Source organism: Homo sapiens, chromosome 5 (assembly GCF_000001405.40).
Source record: "Homo sapiens chromosome 5, GRCh38.p14 Primary Assembly".
Lineage (NCBI taxonomy): Eukaryota > Metazoa > Chordata > Mammalia > Primates > Hominidae > Homo > Homo sapiens.
Genome location: NC_000005.10, coordinates 52667336 through 52688616, shown reverse-complemented (window position 1 = coordinate 52688616; position 21281 = coordinate 52667336). Strand labels below are relative to the sequence as shown.

The 21281-nt window shown below is 38.1% G+C and overlaps 1 long non-coding RNA gene across 9 annotated transcripts in view; it reads left to right on the top strand.

Moving 5' to 3' along the window:
• Positions 1-15190, top strand: part of PELO-AS1 (PELO antisense RNA 1) — a 127387-nt gene extending 112197 nt beyond the window's left edge. For 5 of the 9 annotated variants that reach the window (NR_186447.1, NR_186453.1, NR_186452.1 and 2 more), the window contains 2 exons: positions 2927-3012; positions 13001-15190. This is a non-coding gene — a long non-coding RNA (PELO antisense RNA 1). The remainder of the gene's footprint in view (positions 1-2926; positions 3013-13000) is intronic. The other 4 variants (NR_186455.1, NR_186451.1, NR_186449.1 and 1 more) reach the window with 2 other exon arrangements.
• The last annotated feature ends 6091 nt before the right edge of the window (positions 15191-21281 follow it).

Below are 21281 nucleotides of genomic sequence, written 5' to 3'. Positions count from 1 at the left end.
TGTACTTGAGAAACTTTATCTAAGGAGTTTCCTCTGCACCCGGACCTGATGGAGACAAGATTTTAGACTTGAGGAGTGGGGATTTTAGAAGGGGCAGTTAATTAATGTTGCATATGGGAAAATATGAATAATTTGTGGTGAGAGGGTAGATTGTGGTAGATTAAAGATGAGTGCAATTTATTTTCTGCTATTTCCATGGAGGGGTGGGATCGACTTCTCCTCTTGAATCTTGCCAGCATCTTTGACTCCACAGGTTCCGGCTTAGGATGTAGGAGACTGATAGCTTCCATTCCTCTCTCTTAGAACACCCGTGCTTGGAGTACTGAACTACTATGTGAGAAAGCTAACCACCCTGGCATTTAGGGAATGGTGCTAGGGATGATAGACTTCATGCAACAATGGGGGAGTCCTGCAAAACTGAGAATGTTTTTCATGTCCTCCAAATGAACCATAAAGCATTCATGTATGTGAAAAGCATACATTAAAATTTTCTATGTAGGGGTTCTTAATTGTGGCCTTCAGACCATCAGCATCAGCATCAACTGATAACTTATTTTACATGCAGATTTTTGGGCTCTGCTCCAGATGTACTGAATCAAAAACTCATGGGTGAGACCAACCAAGCAATCTGTGTTTTATCAAGCTCCTTGTTGCACACTAACATTTGAGAACCACTGATTTATGCTAAGAAATAAAATTTTATAGTGTGCACCCAATTTCCCAAGAATGCTAATGCTGTACAAGTTTAGGGAAGATTGTACAATACCTTATTGAGGTCTTTACCGGGAAAGGCTAATAATTTTAGAAAATTATGCAGTTCATGGTAATAGACTGTGTCAACACGTTGCCCAGGCTGGTGCCAAACTCCTGAGCTCAGGCAAAGTGCTAGGATTACAGGTGTAAGGCACCACACCTGGCCAATAGTGTACATTTTCTATAAAAATTAAGTTTATAAGAGTGTTGTTCAAATATCTTTATCTTTATTACTTTAAAAAATGTATCCATTGGTTTCTCAGAGAGGACTACTCAAATCTCCCATTATTATAAGTTTGCTTATTTATTTGCACTTCTGTTGTTTTTTGCGTTCAGCATTTTAGGGTTAAGTTGTAGAAGGCTTACAAACTAATGGTTGCTTAATCTCCTTGGTGCGTTGTTCCTTTTAGCTTAACGAAATGTTCCTCTATCTTTATGAATAATTTTAATCTTAAATTCCATTTTTTTGCTATTAATATTTCCATACCAGCATTATTTTGGCAAATATCTATTTTGTCAATCTATTTTTGCATACATTTGTTTTCAACTTCCTTATATAGTGCTTCTTTTAGTGTGTCATTTATCATCCAAACCAGAACTTCTGAGAGTAAAAAGAAGAGTATGCTAGAACAATAGGTGAAATCCAGAAATCCACGTCACTGGGAAATGTGACTGTCATAAGTAGCATATAACTGGATTGTTTTTATAAGCAGATGTGATAGTCTATCTTTTTGGGTAGACAATACATTAACATTCTTTGTAGTTACTGACATATTTAGATATTTGTTGCAGCTTAATTTGCATTTTTAATATATTTTGTTGAATTGCTTAATTGTATGATGCTTCTCCTTCTCCTCCCTTTTTATTTTATTCCTCTTCTTGCTTCATTTTCATTGACATAATTTTCTTTATTCTGTCTCTCTTTTCCTGTTTTCCACTGGATTAGAGGTTATTAATTTCACTAAACATTTTAAATACTGGTTTATCTTAAATTTGAATTTGTTTGACTCAAGGATGTTTGAAATTATTCAGTGTCTTTACTCCTCTCCTATATAATATTCATGTAATATAAACATCTTACAACTATTTAAGTCTGATTTGTCTCATATTACTATTGTCTAATATTTTAATTCCAACTTATTTTAACATTGCCTCCTCATTTCATCATTAACATATTTTATAGTCAATACTTATTTATATTTACCAACAAGCTTGAAAATACATTTATTTCTTACATTCTTCTCTTTTCTTTTAGTTTCAATTCTTGTTGAAACACCTCTTTTAGCATTTCTTTTAATAAAGGCCTACCAAACCATAATTACTTTATGTGTATTTGAAAATGTCTGGATTCTATTTTATAAAGCTACAGCTATTACTTCCATTTGATAAGTGAGGAATCTGAGTTGCAGATTTGATAAATAAATTTCTCAGACAGGGAAACTCTTAAAAGTGGCCAACAGAGAATGCCCAAGACAATGGAATAATATAATTTGAAGGGTAAAATTCTCCTTTTCTAAAATTCTATTCTTAGCTGACATTTACTGATGTAAAATATGAGGTCTAATTATCTTGCCTCGTTTGATAATGAGTCTCTTCTTTCTGGTAAGCTTAAAGATTCTTCCATAATATTCTGCAGGAGTATTTAGATGGGTCTAGATATGAATTTGCTTCTCTTACTCTGCTGGCGACTTGGTGCTCTCCCTTACACTGAGATTATTGTTCTTCGCATCTCTCTGCACAATGAGAGCCTTTCTCTAATTCTGTCTATTTTATCTTTTCATAGCTCTTCCTTGTGGGCCACATGTCTCTGTATTTACCTTTGTCAATTTGTACTGAATTCTGGGAGGCGTCCTTGGATTTGTCTTTCAATTTATCCATTTATATTTTCTTTGTGTCTTATTCTTGTGTTTTTTTCACTGATATTTTTTTCTTTAAATTTTATAAATCTGTGCAGGAAAGGGTTAACTTGCAGGTGTGAGTTGCTCAAAACTTACACCTTCAGAAAGGAATTGTCTTCAGAACCTGCTCTTGGACAGCTCCTTGGAGATGAACTCTGAATCTTTGGAATATTCTGCCTGATAGCTTTTGTGTGCCTGAGGCAAGGGACACAATTTGATCAGATAGTTTATGCTAACACTGTGGTTTATGTCAAGCACCTGTTTTTGCTCTGCAGGGCTGGAATCTGAGTAGCTGAGGTGCTTATGTGACTACATGCCTACATCACTGACCCCCAATAAACACCTTGGACACAAGACTCAGGTGAGCTTTCCTGACTGACAACACCTCACACGTGTCATTACACATTATTGTTGGCATAATTAAACAGGTTTGTGTAACTCCACTGGGAAAAGACACATAGAAGTATGTGCCTGGTGCCTCCTGGACTTCACCCTGTGTGCCTTTTTCTCTTACTGCTTTTAATCTGTATTCTTTTGCTGTATTAAACTGTAACCAAAAGTGTAGTGGCTTTTCTGAGTCCTGTAAATACTTCAAGTAAATCACCAAGCCTGAGGGTGGTCTTGGGGATCCCTGACACACGTATGTATTTCTCTTTTTTAAACATTCCATTTTAACCAGTTTCTAGTCTTTTTTTACATTTTCCTATTACTATGGAGACACTTTATTATTTCTCTATTTTATTCCTTTCTTTCTTATAATATTCTAAATTTACTTATTTAGAGCTTCTCTCTGATTAAAAAGAATACTTTTTGTCCTTTGTGTACAAAATTTGCTACTTCTTGAGCCTGCTGGTTCTCTCCCATGGTTGCCCTGTATGCAGTCATTTGGTAGCAGCTACAACTTCAGCTCCTATTGACCCATAAGTACTGGTACTCAGGGCTAAAGGATGGATTAAATTTGCTTACAGTAGACCTCCATGAGTTTCTCTGATTCCGGGCTAGTTTTTATAATAAATTTTTGCTTGGTGTGAATTAGATTTTAAACTCACACAGAGAATAGGATTGGGCTCCTGATACATTTTGTTAAATCCTTTTCCCTTTCTTACTGCTCTGAACTTTGGTAAGCATTCTTACTACTTTGCCAGTCTAGTGGGTAACATTTTTTTCTAAAAGTTTTTTAAAACTTTGTTTCATGGGTTTAGCGAAAGGTGGGAAACAGTGTGTAAGAGCATGTCACCTCCTTCCATGCTTAAGTAGACTGTTAAAGGTACTAAAACAACTCTGTTATAAGTCATTTTTATCCTAGGTCCAATTGTCCTGAACCTCAGGGGACACTTAATTGTACTAGGAGTCCAGTATTTTTTAAAATAAATTTTTGTGATTTGCTTTGCAATTTTCTATACTATATGAGTGACATTTTATTTTAGTGTCAATTTTTCCCTCTTTTAATTATCTGTTTAAAAGTTAGGGTTATGTGTGTGTGTGTGTGTGTGTGTGTGTGTGTGTATGCATGTGCAATTTGTAGAATTTGGAAAGCCAAAGTTTTCAAGATGACACTAACATATTATTTTTTGGTGGACCCACTCTGAATGTCATTTTGTTTATTTTAGTTTCTTCTAAACCCAGGGCCAAATCTTATTTTTATAAGAATTTTTTTTTATTTGTAGCTCAGTTAGGAGGATAAAAAGAGCACTGTGTACTGGCTTCCCAAGAATTTGTATGTCTAATCCCTCAAGAATGTGAATAGTTAATTATAAATGTGGTCGAAGATCAGAAGTATGGAAGTGATAGGCTATTATAAAAATGAAAGAATATTAGTTGAAAAAAGAATGCAGAAATTAACAAAATGTTTAATAATTTCTTTACATCAGTTGCTGTGGGAGATGACTGATGGGTGAGCAGAGAGCCAATAGATTGCCCAGGAAAAGCTATCAAACATTCTTTTTTTTTTTTTGAAACGGAGTCTTGCTCTGTTGCCCAGGCTGGAGTGCAGAGGCACTATCTCAGCTCACTGCAAGCTCCACCTCCCGGGTTCACGCCATTCTCCTGCCTCAGCCTCCCAAGTAGCTGGGACTACAAGCACCCGCCACCATGCGCGGCTAATTTTTTGTATTTTTAGTAGAGACGAGGTTTCACCATGTTAGCCAGGAGGGTCTTGATCTCCTGACCTGGTGATCTGCCCGCCTCGGTCTCCCAAAGTGCTGGGATTACAGGCGTGAGCCACCATGCCTGGCCCCAAACATTCTTATACAGCAAGTAAGCAAGATTGATTAGGAAGTCGGAATATCTGAACATTGCAAAAACTCTAGGGAATGGCATGGCTTCAGGTTTTTAACTTAAGTGATCTACAGAAGCAAAACTTTAGAGATAAAACTGCAGTTTCATGAAGAAGAAAAATATAGATCAAAAGAATGAATGTTTATTTTTGCTAAGATTTAGGAAGCAGAATACTATTTCGATTAAAATTTATGGAGTACTTTTCTATAAACACACCATTTTTCCAGTTCTTATAGCCTTTTTATGGGAGATAGCAGTTGTCTTATTACCTCTCATTTTGGCATGCAAAAATAAAGGAAGGAACACTAACAAGATACCAATAATTTTAGGATGTTACCCTGATGTGTTTAGTCTTCTACTTGAAAGGGTAGTTCCAAGTTTGTTTGTGCATGCGGCATGCGTGTGTATCTGGGAGTGTGTGTGTGTGTGTGTGTAAGAATCTTCAAAAAAGACGTGACTCATATCTTGTCTGGTTTATGAAATGCTATGCCTTATTATTTCACTAAACCCAATAGTTTTGTTGACTAGGTCTTTAAAAATAAATGTGGTATGCAATTAATAGGACTATAAGGGACAAGAGAGATGCTAACTTTAGAAAATGAAAAGTGAAAAAAAAAAAAAAAAAAAGAATAAGCATGTGAATCCTTCACTGGCAACCAAGATATCCAGGTTCTCTCATCAAAATTGACTAGAAGGCGTTGTGACTCACGGAGAGAAGGAAGGGCAGTGTGGTGTGGCTGCCCATCTGAAAGCCACACGGGGAAGGGGAACCCCCTGCCCCCAACCAAGAAAAGCAGTGAGTGAGCCTGCTACCCACCCAGGGAAACTGTGCTTTTTTCCACGGAACTGTGCAATCCATGGATCGGAAGATCCCACTCGCAAACCTATGCTTCCTGGGCCTAGCATCCCAACCTTGGAATGCACAGATTCTGACAGCCTCTCAGTGGGAATCTGCTGAAGCCCACCGAATTCCCGGGGGGAGGGGCGACCAGCACTGGGTGTGGCTGCCTGCTGTCTAAGCCATTTGAGCTCCTTGGGGGAGGGGCAGCAGCCAGCACTGGGACTGGCAACTGCCTAACATGCTAAGCTGCCTTGGTGGGGGAAGGATGGTGCCCATTTCTATAGCTCCAGGGTGTACTTTTTCCCTGCTGGAGCCAGGGAGGCTGGACGGCTTGGTCCTAAGACTTGTCCCCACAGCCCAACACACTGGCTGTGGCAGTATTCAACCAGAGTGCCTCTTCAGGCCTAAACCTAACCCATCCTTCCTCACTGGGCAGGTCTTCCCTGCAGAATCTCCAATAACTCTAGCCAGAGGCTCAGGGACAGAATTTGTATCTCCCTGGGCTTGAACCCCTAGAGGTAGGGGTGGCCTCAGTTTCTGTGGACCAGCAGGCTTAGCCTCTCCTCCTAGTAGTTCTGAGGAATCTGGGCAGCCCAGATGAGTGGGTTTCCCCCCAGCGAAACACACTCTCTCCACCAAGGGACAAAGTGCTTCGTTAAATGGGTCCTGCTCTCTGTGCGACCAAACTGGGTGAGACCCTCCAATAGGGGCTGTCAGGCACCTTATACAGGAGCGATCCTATTGGCATCAGGCTGGTGTCCCTCAAGGTTAGAGGTCCCAGAAGAAGGAGCAGGCACCCATCTTTGCTGTTTTCCAGCCTCCTTGAGTGACATCTCCAGGCATGTGAGTGAATCAGATGAATAAGGCCTGAAGTGAACCCCCAGCAAACTGCAGCAGCCCTACAGAAGAGAGACCTGACTATTGAAAGAAAAGGAAACAAGCAGAAAGCGACAACAATGGCATCAACAACAATAGCAAAAAAGGCCCCCACAAAAACCCCATCCAAGGGTAAGCAGCCTCAAAGACCAAACTACACAAACTCATGAAGATGAGAAAGAATCACGAAAAAATGCTGAAAACCCAAAAGACCAGAGTTCCTCTTCTCCTCCAAATGATCACAATGTCTCTCCATCAAGGGCCCAGAACTGGAGGAGAATCCAATGGACGAATTGACAGAAATAGGCTTCAGAAGATGGGTAATAACAAACTACACTGAGCTAAAGGAGCATGTTCTAACTCAGTGCAAAGAAGATAAGAACCTTGACAAAACGTTAGAGGAATTGCTAACCAGAATAACCAGCTTAGAGAGGAACATAAATGACCTGATGGAGCTGAAAAACACAGCTCGAGAACTTTGTGAAGAATATACAAGTATCAACAGCTGAATAGACCAAGTGCAAGAAAGGATATCAGAGTTTCAAGACCACCTTACTGAAATAAGATGTGCAGAAAAGAATAGAGAAAAAGGAATGAAAAGGAATGAAGAAAGCCTCCAAGAAATATGGGACTTCATAAAAAGACTGAACCTACGATTGATTGGAGTACCAGAAGGATATGGGGAGAATGGAAACCAGCTAGAAAACACACTTCAGGATATTATGCAAGAGAACCTCCCCAACCTAGGAAGATAGGCCAACATGCAAATTCAGGAAATACAGAGAACACCATTAAAATACTCCATGAGAAGATCAACCCCAGGGCACATAATCATCAGATTCTCCAAGGTTGAAATGAAGGAAAAACTGTTAAGGGCAACCAGAGAGAAAGGCCAGGTCACCTACAAAGGAAAGCCCATCAGACTAACAGCAGACCTCTTGGAGAAACTCTACAAGCCAGAAGAGATGGGGGGCCAACATTCAACATTCTTAAAGAAAAGAATTTTCAACCCAGAATTTCCTATCCGGCCAAACTAAGCTTCATAAGCGAAAGGGAAATAAAACCCTTTCCAGACATGCAAGTGCTGAGGGATTTTGTTACCACCAGGCCTGCCCTGCAAGAGCTCCTGAAAGAAGCACTAAATATGAAAAGGAAAAACTGGTAACAGTCACTGCAAAAACACACCAAAATATAAAGACTGATGACACTATGAAGAAACTGCATCAACTAGTGTGCAAAATAACCAAATAGCATAATGATGACAGGATCAAATTCACACATAACAATACTAACCTTAAATGTAAATGGGCTAAATGCCCCAATTAAAAGACACAGACTGTCAAATTGAATAAGGAGTCAAAACCCACTGGTGTGCTGTATTCAGAGACCCATCTTACACAGGCCCAAAATAAAGGGGTGGAGGAATATTTACCAAGCAATTGAAAGCAAACAAACAAACAAACAAAAAAGCAGGGGTTGCAATCCTAGTCTCTGACAAAACAGACTTTAAACCAACAAAGATAAAAAAAGACAAAGAAGGGCATTATATAATGATAAACGGAACAATTAAACAAGAAGAGCTAAGTATTCTAAATATATATGCACCCAATACAGGAGCACCCAGATTCATAAAACAAGTTTCTGGAGACCTACAAAGAAACTTAGATTACCACACAATAATAGTGGGAAACTTTAACACCCCACTGTCAGTATTAGACAGATCAATGAGACAGAAAATTAACAGGGATATTCAGGACTTGAACTTGCCTCTGGATCAAGTGGACCTAGTAGAGGTCTACAGAACCCTCCACCCCAAATAAACAGAATATACATTATTCTCAGTGCCACATGGGACTTATTCTAAAATTCACCACATAATTGGAAGTAAAACACTCCTCAGCAAATGCAAAAGAACGGAAACCATAACAATCTCTCAGACAACAGTGCAATCGAATGAGAACTCAGGATTAAGAAACTCAGTCAAAACCACACAATTTCATGGAAATTGAACAACCTGCTCCTGAATGACTCCTGCATAAATAATAAAATTAAGGCAGAAATCAAGAAGTTCTTCGAAACCAATGAGAACAAAGAGATAACATACCATATTCTCTGGGACATGGCTAAAGTAGTGTTAAGAGGGAAATTTATAGCACTAAGTGCCCATATCAGAAAACTACAAAGATCTCAAATCAACACCCTAACATCACAATTAAAAGAACCGGAGAGGCAAGAGCAAAATAATCCACAAGCTAGCAAAAGACAAGAAATAATTAAGATCAGAGAAGAATTGAAGGAGATAGAGACACGAAAAACCCTCCAAAACATCAATGAATACAGGAGCTCTTTTTTTGAAAAAACTAACAAAATAGACCTCTAGCTAGACTAATAAAGAAGAAGAGAGACAAGAATAAAATAGACAAAATAAAAAATCATGTCAGTGGATATCATCACTGACCCCACAGAAATACAAACTACCATCAGAGAATACTAGAAACACCAGTACACAAATAAACTAGAAAAATCTAAGAGAAATAGATAAATCTCTGGACGCATACACCCTACCAAGGCTAAACCAGGAAGAAGTCGAATCCCTGAATAGACCAATAACAAACTCTGAAATTGAGGCAGTAATTAATAGCCTACTAACCAAAAAAAAGCCAATGACCAGACAGATTCACAGGTGAATTCTACCAAAAATACAAAGAGGAGCTAGTACCATTCCTTCTGAAAGTATTCCAAAGAATTGAAAAGGAGGGATTCCTCCCTAACTGATTTTTTGAAGCCAGCATCATCCTGATACCAAAACTGGGAAGAAACACAACAACAAAAAAGAAAACTTCAGGCCAATATCCCTGTTGAACATTGATGCGAAAATCCTCAGTAAAATACTGGCAAACTGAATCCAGCAGCATGTCAAAAAGCCTATCCACCAAGATCAAATCGGCTTCATCCCTGACATGCAAGGCAGGTTCAACATACACAAATCAATAAACGTAATCCATCACATAAACAGCGCCAAAGACAAAAGCCACATGATTATCTCAGTAGATGCAGAAAAGGCCTTTGATAAAATCCAACATGGCTTCATGTTAAAAACTCTCATTAAACTAGGTATTGATGGAACATATCCCAAAATAATAAGAGCTATTTATGACAAATCCAAAGCCAATATCATACTGAATGGGAAAAAGCTGGAAGCATTCCCTTTGAAAACTGGTACAAGAAAAGGATGCCCTCTCTCACCACCCCTATTTAACATAGTATTATAAGTTCTGGCCAGGGCAATCAGGAAAGAGAAAGAAATAAAGGGTATTCAAATAGGAAGAGAGGAAGTCAAGTTGTCTCTGTTTGCAAACGACATGATTTTATATTTAGAAAATGCCATCATCTCAGCCCCAAAACTTCTTGAACTGAAAAGCAACTTCAGTAAAGTCTCAGAATACAACATCAATGTGCAAAAATCACCAGCATTCCTTTATACCAACAATAGGCAAGCAGGGAGTCGAATCATGAATCAATAGGCAAGCAGAGAGTCAAATCATCCCATTCACAATACTACAAAGAGAATAAAAAACCTAGGCATACAGCTAACAAGGGATATGAAGGACCTCTTCAAGGAGAACTACAAACCACTGCTCAAGGACATAAGAGAGGACACAAAAATAAATGGAAAAAAATTCCATATTCATGGATAGGAAGAATCAATATCATGAAAATGGCCATACTGCCCAAAGTAATTTATAGATTCAATGTTATTACCATCAAACCACCATTGACTTTCTTAGCAGAATTAGAAAAAATTACTTTAAATTTCATATGGAATCAAAGAAGATCTCATATAGGCAAGACAATCCTAAGCAAAAAGAACAAAGCTGGAGGCAGCATGCTACCTGATTTCAAACTATACTATGAGGCCACAGTAACCAAAACAGCATAGTACTGGTACCAAAACAGACATATAGACCAATGGAGCAGAACAGAAACCTCGGAACATAACACCACACACCTACAATCATCTGATCTTCGACAAACCTGACAAAAAAAGCAATGGGGAGAGGATCTCTTATTCAGTCAGTGGTGCTGGGAAAACTGGCTAGCCATAGGCAGAAAACAGAAACTGGACCCTTTCCTTATACCTTATACAAAAATTAATTCAAGATGGATTAAAGACTTAAATGTAAAGCCCAAAACCATAAATACCCTAGAAGAAAACCTAGGCAATACAATTCAGGACATAGGCATGGGCAAATACTTCATGACAAAAATGCCAAAAGTGATTGCAACGAAAGCCAAAATTGACAAATGGGATCTAATTAAACTAAAGAGCTTCTGCACAGCAAAAGAAACTATCATCAGAGTGGATAGGCAACCTACTGAATGGGAGAAAATTTTGCTATCTACCCATCTGACAAAGGTCTAATATCCAGAATTTATAAGGAAGTTAAACAAATTTACAAGGGAAAAACAACCCCATCAAAAAGTGCGCAAAGGATATGAACAGGCATGTCTCAAAAGAAAACATTTACATGGCCAGCAAACATATGAAGAAAAGCTCAACATCACTGATCATCAGAGAAGTGCAAATCAAAACCCTAATGAGATACCATCTCACACCAGTCAGAATGGCGATTATTAAAAAGTCAGGAAACAATAGATGCTGGCAAGGCTGTGGAGAAACAGGAATGCTTTTACACTGTTGGTGGGAGTGTAAATTAGTTCAACCATTGTGGAAGACAGTATGGTGATTCCTCAAGAATCTAGAACCAGAAATACAATTTGACCCAGCAATTCCATCCATTACTGGGTATATACCCAAAGGATTATAAATCATTCTACTGTGTCTATAAAGACACATGCACACATATGTTTACTGCAGCATTATTTACAATAGCAAAGACATGGAACCAACCCAAATGCCCATCAATGATAGACTGGATAAAGAAAACGTGGTACATATACACCATGGAATACTCTGCAGCCATAAAAAAGAATGAGATTATGTCCTTTGCAGGGACATGGATGAAGCTGGAAATCATCATCCTCAGCAAACTAACACAGGAACACCAAACAGAAAACCAAACACTGCATGTTCTCACTCATAAGTGGGAGTTGAAGATTGAGAACACATGGGCACAGAGAGAGGAACAACACATGCTAGGGCCTGTTGGTGGGTGGGGGTTGAGGGGAGGGAACTTAGAGGATGGGTCAATAGGTGCAGCAAACTATGTAACAAACCTGCACCTTCTGCACATGTATCCCATTTTTGTTTTTTTTGAAGAAATGAAAAAGTCCCTATAATCAATCTCTCTTGCTATCTTTCTCTCTGTGTATCTATTACCTTCTTTCATTGCCCTAAATCTTTCCCTCAATATTTTCCCCATATTGACCAACATCTGGATTTTGTTTCTATCTGTCCTGCCTTTTTCATATTAACAAATTTCCGAGTTCCTATCCTCTCTCATATTCTGCAGTTTACGTGATTCCTTCATAAGAGTTTTACCAGCTCCTAATTTATCTGTGTAGCTCCAGGGAGGTTTTATCTTATTCTGTTCATATCTCCCTCTATTTATAGTACTGCAGACAATCTAGCTGAACTTTGACTTTTGTGCTTACTCACATACCCACATCCAGTAGTAGATTCTCTGATTTCTGTCATTTCCGTAAGGGTACCTTCACCCCTGGCAGAAATTTCTTTGATATAAAATTGTGTTAAAAATAATAGAAGATATCTAAGTGGATCACGAATCTACACCCGTGATAAAATTGCATTGAACTAAATACACACACAAATAAATGCATGTAAAACTAAGGTGTATTGATTGTATCACTGTAAAATTCCTGGTTGGAAATTTTACAGTGCTGGGGAGACTGGGTAAATGTTCAGTGCAATTTCTGACTGTTTTTTCTTATAATTGTTTATGAGTCACAATTATTTCAAAATAATTTTTTTTAAAAAGACATGGTGGAAACACAATTGAGTGTTTTGGGCTTCACTTTGTATCTTTTACTGAGTTAGCAATCTCAGACAAGATCATAAATAATCATCTAGAACTTTCCCCCGACCATCCCCTACCCCAATCAGTTTTCTAGGACAGCAAGTTAATGTTATAGGCATCAGGATCCTTCAATTAAGGCCATTTCTAAATCTAAATTATTTTTCTGTCAACAGTCATTCACTGTCAGTCAATAAATAGTTGTCGAGCACCTATTGTGAATTAGGCACTCTTATAGGCACTGGAGTTACAAACAATATATTTGTTCTTGGCTTTAATGAATGTATTTTCTGAATAAAAGCATTTGTGGTATGCTAAGATCAACTGGATTTATAATTTCAATTTGCTAATATTTGCAGGCTGCTTCATCGATACTTTCTTATTTTATGTTATGATGCATCAAAGTGAACTCTGATCCCTTCAAACAGAATCATTGCTTTCAGATAAAGAAACCTCAGATCAAATATAAGCATCAAAATCTACAAAGATTTTAGAGGGTGAAGAAACACGGAAAGATCTCTGGTGATGGAGCCAGCATTGATGAACCAAGAAAAGTCTTAAACGTGAAGAAGCCTGTGATAAACAAGGTGACTCACCTCATCAAATGGAATAGGGATCTTCTGGCAAAGCTGCCTGGGTAAACCGCAACTCACAAGGGATAGAATTTCACTAAATTCTTAAGAGGTTACAGACTCTATTTCTATCCTTAAATACACTCATTATTTTATCCCTGGATATACCCAATTATAGTTTAAACTTAAATTGAATAAAAGATGATGGGAATAATTCTATTTTTATTTCAGGACTGTGCCCAGGGGAATAACAAGGAAGAAAAATGTCAGAAGAATTAGTTTCTCTCTAATTGAACAAATGTATTTATATTTCCTTGTTGATAGGCATAGATTCTCAATGAGAAACTGAAACTTATGAAGTTACATTTAAGACTCCAGTTGTGACAATGATGACCAATGCTCTTTGGTATTACGTTTTCCAATTCAACACAGGAAATGAGTTGGAATTTGTTTTGCAGTTTTTTTTTCAGCCTGTTTTGTGGAGTATTTTTTCCTGTGATCTGTAGAAACACAATGATAACATTACGAACTTTGCCAGTCATTGGCCCATCAAAAATGTTTGTATGCTTGAATGGGCAAGAAATTACATTTGATGGAGTCCCATGTGCCTCATTAACTAAATTTTTCTTTTCGGTTATTATTAAAGGACAGTAGGTGGCCAGGCACGATGGCTCATTCCTGTAATCCCAGCAGTTCAGGAGGCCAAGGTGGGCAGATCATGAGGTCAGGAGACCAAGACCATCCTGGCCAACACGGTGAAATCCCGTCTCTACTAAAAATACAAAAATTAGCCAGGTGTGGTGGTGTGTGCCTGTAATCCCAGCTACTAGGAGGCTGAGGCAGGAGAATCTCTCTAACCAGGGATTCGGAGGTTGCAGTGAGCCGAGATTGCGCCACTACCCTCCAGCCAGGCAATAGAGCGAGAGTCTGTCTCCAAAAAAAAAAGACTGTAGGTATGAGATCAGACGTGACTTTTAACTTTTAACTTTTAACTTTCATGTTCTTCATCTTCCATTCTTGCCACAAAAAGACTGCCGTTTCCTTCTTCACATTCAATGTGTCTCATGGGTCAGAGAATCTGTGTGGTTACACTCTTAACTAGTACAGCCACTGTTCTTCGACTACTTAAACGCTCTTATCCTTCCACTCAGTCATCCATTTGACCCCATTTCCTTTATATTCTATGCAGAATTACATGTGCAATTAGGGTTTGTTTTCATTATTACTGTTATTATTATAATCACTATTTGCCAATTCTGTTGATTACCCTTTCCATTTGTTTTTCAACAAAACTCTCTCTGTACACCAACAACACTGCCTCAATCTTTTAATCTACCAGAAAAAAAATTCAACTCCATAAGCAATTGGATCAATAATAGTAGGAATTCACAATTTTCAGTCTCAGTGGTTTCCTTCAACATTAAACTCCTTTTTATTTTGATTGTCCATTACTTCATAACTTTGAAATCCTCTTTCAATTTCTCTAATGTAATTTGACCAAGATTGTGGCTCGCAAGACTGAACTTTTTTGAAATATGGACATGGGGAGTCCCCACATTTTGCTAGACTACATCTTGGAGGGTGCTTGGAAAGCAGAAATGGTGGGAAATCGTTTTATTTTCTGTTTGCAAAAGCCACTTTGCAACTTGTGGTTATCCTATTCTATCACCAAGCTCCTGCCTGTATTTACAGTGGGCTTTGAAGAACCAGCTGCTGAAAGTGATAAATCAGCAGCTGAAAATGATGAATGCGAGACTGATTGGAACTCAAAGTGAAATATAGGTGCTTGTCAACAATGTTAGATTGGTAACTTGAGGTGGCAAAGAGTGGTGACTGCTGGCAAAATGTATGAATATATGTATTATAGTAGCAATTATACTTGCTTATTTCAATGTTTTTGAAGTCTTCTTATTTATAGAACATTCTGGCTTTTTATTTTGAGGAGCACTGCTAACAATAAATCAGAACCAACATTTATTGAGTGTCGATTATTATATCCCAAGTCCAGTACTAGACTGTGGAGCATTAGCTATGAAATGCCTAGTTGTGATTTCCAAGCACCACTTATGGAAAATTATGATCTGCTTTTTATATTAGTGCAGTATCGCTAGATGTAACAGGTATTCTGGATTTTAAAACCTATTTATAATGTTTGTTTCTAATGTGGTTTATGCTTACTCAAATGGAATATTTTTCAGCTTGTTCCTTTCCAAGTGGTACTTACATACCTGTTGTTCCTGGATCTTTCCATTTTGATTTTGATATATTCAAGTTGCCAATGTTCCCTGGTTACTAGTCCATGTACTGGTCTGTTCATTTGTACATAAACATTTATACAAGATGGAAAAGTTGAAGTAATTTAAATTTAGTCCATTATTTTATTCCAATGTGAATTGTGTGTCACTACACGATTTCAACGCAAGGTTATTCATTGGTTTACCTTCTGCCTTTTTATGGCTTCCAGGCATGTTTAATATCTGTGATTAACTGAATTTTTCAGGTTAACATCTGCATTTAATCACAAGTTATTACCCATTTCCTAGACTGGTCAGTGTAACATTTCAATCACTCCTTCCTTCTTTCTCCACCCATGTAGTAAAAGATTCAAAGTCAGTTATACTTTCTCTCTTTCACAGCCATCGAGCTGCACTTAAATAATATTCAAGAAAGTTATATTTCTTTTGAAGTGGTCACAGGAAGCATATGCTTAGTGTATATAAACAGAAAGAGAGTTGATGCACTGATTTGGTTGATTTACAGAGCTCTTGTATCTACATGTAAACATTTTGCCTCAGAGAGAAATGAAAGGTTCTGTTGGACTCCAAAAGCCACTAGCTCCTGTGTAACAGCACTGAGATTCAAAGAGCAAGGCTTCTTTGAATTTCACATTCCCCTGTTTTTTTTTTTTTTTTTTTTTTAGTCTAGCTCAACAAACTTCTGAGAGTTCCCTGTTTTAGTTTAAATACTCCTTGTCTCATTTTCCAAACTCTTTAATTTTTCAAAGTCATTTGATCATGGAGAATAAAACCTTAAGGATTAGCCATACTCCCGTCTTTTTCCTACTGAACAGAATCATTCAAACCAATTCTTCCATTTTCTCTGAGTTCTCCATGAACCTATCATAAATGACTCCATTTAAGAAAAAACAATAATATGAAAGCAGAACAGCTAAATGTGTGTTAATGTCTCGCCACTATATTTTTGGCAAACCTTGACCTAATTCAGGTCAAAATTAGCGTTTCTTCCCAAACTGAATATTTTGTTGGAGAGGGTGGGAGGGGGTAGGAATAAGCAGCTATGCTGGGCTTTTAATTGATTGGGAACTAAGATGTGAGCAATATTCTCTGTGTTTTCTTCAAGTATGGGGGATACTGGACTATGACTAAAAATTATGAAGAGAATCTAATACATTAAAGTGAATTAGATATTCTAATCAAATATATCTTATGACTAAGTTGTTTTGACACATTTAGTGATCACTATGATTATTGTTCTAGGAAGTTTTTAGGCACGATATATGTAAACGATCACATAATTATTGCAATTAATTTCCCCATATGTGTAGTCAAATAAAACCCTCATTATTTTCCTTAATTCATTTAAAAGCAACAGAAATCATTGTGTGCCCACTAGATGCAGGGCCTTAATTGCCCTGAAGTCAGAAGTGGCATCTTGTTCATAATTTTATCACCAGTGTCAAATGCATTGATTGATCATTAGTAGGTACTTAAAGTTCATACAAAAATGAATAATATATGGAGACTGCAATAAAGAATATTTAAAATTTCCTTTTCTAGGTTCTGAATTTGTAAAATCATGTTTAATGAGGCATTTCTTTATATCAGTTCAACGTTCATCATTTTCATTCCTATATGGAAATGCAAGAAAACAAAAAAGGGTCTAGACTAAATCCTTTGTATCACTACTCTGTTTTCATCCCAGCCTCCATCTTCCATGACTTAGGTGTTCTTAACTGGTTCAATGAACTATTCTCTGTCTTTCAAGGTTCAAGTGGCTACTAATGCTCTTTGGAAGGAATATCAGCATCGAGGCCATCTAAAGTCTTGAAGCACAGGAAGGATGGGGAATTGGGGCTTGGAATTTACTATGATTTGGTGAAGGAACAGGATATGACCTGTGGGTTACATGGGTGTGAGACACCAGAGCACAGTTCTCCAGAGGCAGAATCTAAGTCCTTGAAGTCCGTGTGTCCCAGAAGCAAGAAACCTTCAGGGCAGAAAAAGCCAAGGATGGTTCTTTCTGGCTGTGATCATTTGGCCACTTGAAACCAGTTAAACCAGGTTCATATGCACTGTTGACCTTAGGGCAAGATTTCTATGTCCATGAAATGGTTCTTTATTCATGCACTACTTCCCAGTGAGTCCAAATACAGCCTCAGAATGATTGTTAACATAGGATTTCAGGCGGTGGCAAATACTAACAAAGTCAGGTTAAGGTTTTAGAAATAAAACCAATTCTTGCCCTTGTAATAATGCAATTTCAGGGAGAATGGGGAACACTTCTTGCTCCTACTTTGACTTCCTCCTTGCCCTTTCCCAGTAAAAATTCCCCTATCCAATCTCCCCACTGATGTGTGATATTATCTTTGTCAGACAACACAACCATCCCTTCAACAATCAGAAGACATAGATTGATGCTTACACATCCTTTCCAGCTTTCTTCCTATTTGTTCCCTCTTCCTGTACTTTCTCTGTTATCCCCTCATGCCCATACTTCCTCTGGGACACTTACCAGAAAAGAACTCCTCCCCAAACTGTTACCCGCACAATCTGCCTTCCTAGCTTTCTGGATCTATTAAAGTGTGGTCTAGGCCTGCGGCATCCACATATTAACCTCCGACTTTCTTCTTAATCAATAGCAATAGGGCTTCTAACCCCTCTGTATTCCACTGCTGCAGCTGCTCTTTCCTTTTATTGAGGACTAACAGTGGTCCAGGAATAACAATAAAATACATACATATTACTATTTAATCACTTAAAAAACAACTCCAGGAGGTAAATGCTAATAATTGGGTCTAAAGAGATCAAGTAATTTGTGGAAGGACACACTTAGGGTAAGTGAGTAAGGAATTCTGATCTAATCTTAACTCCTTAACTGCCTTGAGAGACCACCTTCATGTTGACTTTTATTTCAGTCTTTATATTCCTCAATCCAATACTATCTAAAAGAACTTTCTGCCAAAATAAATTTGTTCTATAGCTGCACTATTTTTATACACAACCCACTTGCCTCTTGTGGGTATTAAACACTTACAATGTGGCTAATGCAACTGAGGAAATACATTTTAAATTTAGTCTGATTTACATTTAAACAGGCACTCATAGCCATTGGCTACTGTATTGGACTGTACAGCTTCAATACCTCAGCGTCCCTAGATCTTGTCAACAGCACCTTCATGCTGACACTTTGCTTTTCCTTGGTTGAATGATCACGATCTCATGATTGTTTTCCTGTTTTCTCCTCCTTTTCTGGGGTTCCTTTCTTCCTCCAGTTTCTTACATGTAAGTTGTTCCCAGACTTCTTTTGTACATTTCCTACATTTTATTCCTGGGCATTAACACTCATTCTGATGTCTTTAAATATCTTTGTACGAATGGCCAAAATCTTTTCCTGACAAAAAACAGAGGTAATGTTCTTTCCAAAGCTCTTCTTCACATTTTCCCTGTTTCTCTTAATGGCATGGAGATTCTTTCAGTTCCTCAGATTCACAACTTCTAATTCTTCTTGGGTGCATATGCCTTTTGTTTGACTCTGTGAAATCTTTTGCCGAGTTTCAAGGATCCTGTCCTCCATATGTCCCACGTGTGTTCCTATCTCTTTGCTTTCCCAGCTGCAACCCCATTTCTTTGTGTTTTCCCCCGAGAGAAACCAATTTAATGCTTCTATTCTCAGAATTTCGCAGCATGCAGGACTCAAATGTATACAACAGAAGAAAAAAACCCACAAGTTTTTGAAGAGCGTTTGTCCAGTGATTAATATTTTGATATCTATTGACAATCCCTTAGAACTTTAAATCTCAACAACAAAAAAGTATTGCGGATTTCCATAATTTATACAGAATTATTTGACTTCTATAAACTTTTCTGAACAGAACGATTAAATGTCAAGAATCCATGAAGCCTAGAAGATGCCTTAACAGTTTTGAGGTTTTATGAAAGCCACTTTTTTATTATATTAGACAAATGCTCTCTGAGAATCAAAGACTTTGTTTGTTTGTTTGTTTTTTGTTTTGAGATGGAGTCTTGCTCTGTCGCCCAGCCTGGCAGCCTCTGCCTCCCTTTTGCTGATTCGGAAGCAGAGTCTGGTGAAGGTCACATGACTTGCCCGTCACTTGATCAGCTTGGGGCCAGCTGGGGCCAGACGGGGTCTCCAGGCTGCAAGTCCTTGCCAGTCCTGTCCCTGCTGCCCTCTGTGACAATTTCTGCCGATTCAGCATCAACGGTTTGTCCCGCAGCTGCCGTGCAAACAAATCTCAGCCATCAGATGTTCCCTGAAGCACAGAGTCCCGTTCTCAGAAGCCAACCGAGCTGTGCTTCTGGGCAGTGCTCTCTCACTTCGTGGCCAGGACGTCGGCTGTGACTCTCCTCTTTCCTGAGGAGCATCTTCAGCTGATCCACGTCCTGCATGGTGCTGCAGGTGGGGCAGCAAGATACGCTTGTGACATGAGAGTCTTGACACATGTGAGGTAGGTAGGGTCAACACGGTGAGGTCCACAACTCGACACCAGCCCTCCAAGCCTGGGAGGCACTCCTCCTCGACTAGGCAGACAAGTATTTGGGCTTTCTCCCCAGTCCTGCAGGAGCAATCCGCTTCCTTCAGAGGATCTGTGGATTCTCTCGGCTTTCCTGGTATATTCCTGCAGTAGTTCTGGAGCAAAAGTTCATAATGCGAGTGAGTCTCAAATCTAGTCTTGCCTCCTATCCGCCATTTTCCCCTCGAGAACTCTCCAACCCCATTTCTGAGATTCAAATATCAAGTCCTTTAGAACAGTTTGAATAATTATAATCAAATAATTAAATATACAATAATTATTAACAATTAATAATAATGATTAATTATAATAATTATTTAAATGGCCTCTGTTTCCAGCCTTCACTGATTCTATTTATCCTAACTACTGCTCTCAAATTAACCATGTTGAAGCTTAGCTCTGAACATTTATTCTCATGCTGTGAAACTTTGAGGGCTCATGATTAATTCCAGGTAAAGCCCATGTACTTCAGTCCAGATTTGGGTTTCATGATTCTCAATTCCCATCTCTACCCTAATTCCTCTTTCTCCATGAAAACTTTCTAGAACTTTTGATTGAAAACAAAACAACAAAAACAAAAACAAAAACAAAACAGAACAAACAAAAAAACCCTCTCTCTAATTTCCCACAGCAGAGTCACTTTCTATCTTGCTATATATTTTTATTTATAAACATGTGCTATTAGTTCATGAAGAGTAGAACACTGTTTTATTTATATTCCACACAATACTTAGAATAATGACATACAAATTGTAAAACTCATATAATCTTATTCAGTTCTTAACTATTTTTTAATTTAAATTGTTTTAGTGTTTCTTATATACCACCCATCTCTAAGTATTGGGAATACGCAGGGGAAACAAAGACATTTCTCTGTTATACGGTTTTCAAGGCCTATCAGGTAAGACATTCTGGAAATTATTTTAAAATACAATGTATGCTTGAATATTAAATTGTGTTCTAGGTACAGTCTGGCACAAAGGAAAGAGTAATAAAATCTGAGTGGATGACTTAAGGACAATTTTGTAGAGTAAGAAATCCTGGGAAATCTGGATCTTAAAGTACTCGAAGGAAGTTTATCCAGGAGTATAAAAATGATGAAATCCTAAAGAGCCTGAAGAATTTGAGCAGAGGCCTCGAGGTGTGAAACAGCATGACACAAGGAAAGCTACATGTAATTCTGAGTGTCTAGAACACAAGGTGAATAATGCATAAAGAAGGAAGGGCAGTGTTAAGGGAGTGGATTAGACCTGAAGCCTTAATTGTAAGCATGTGTGGAGGACTTTGTATACCATC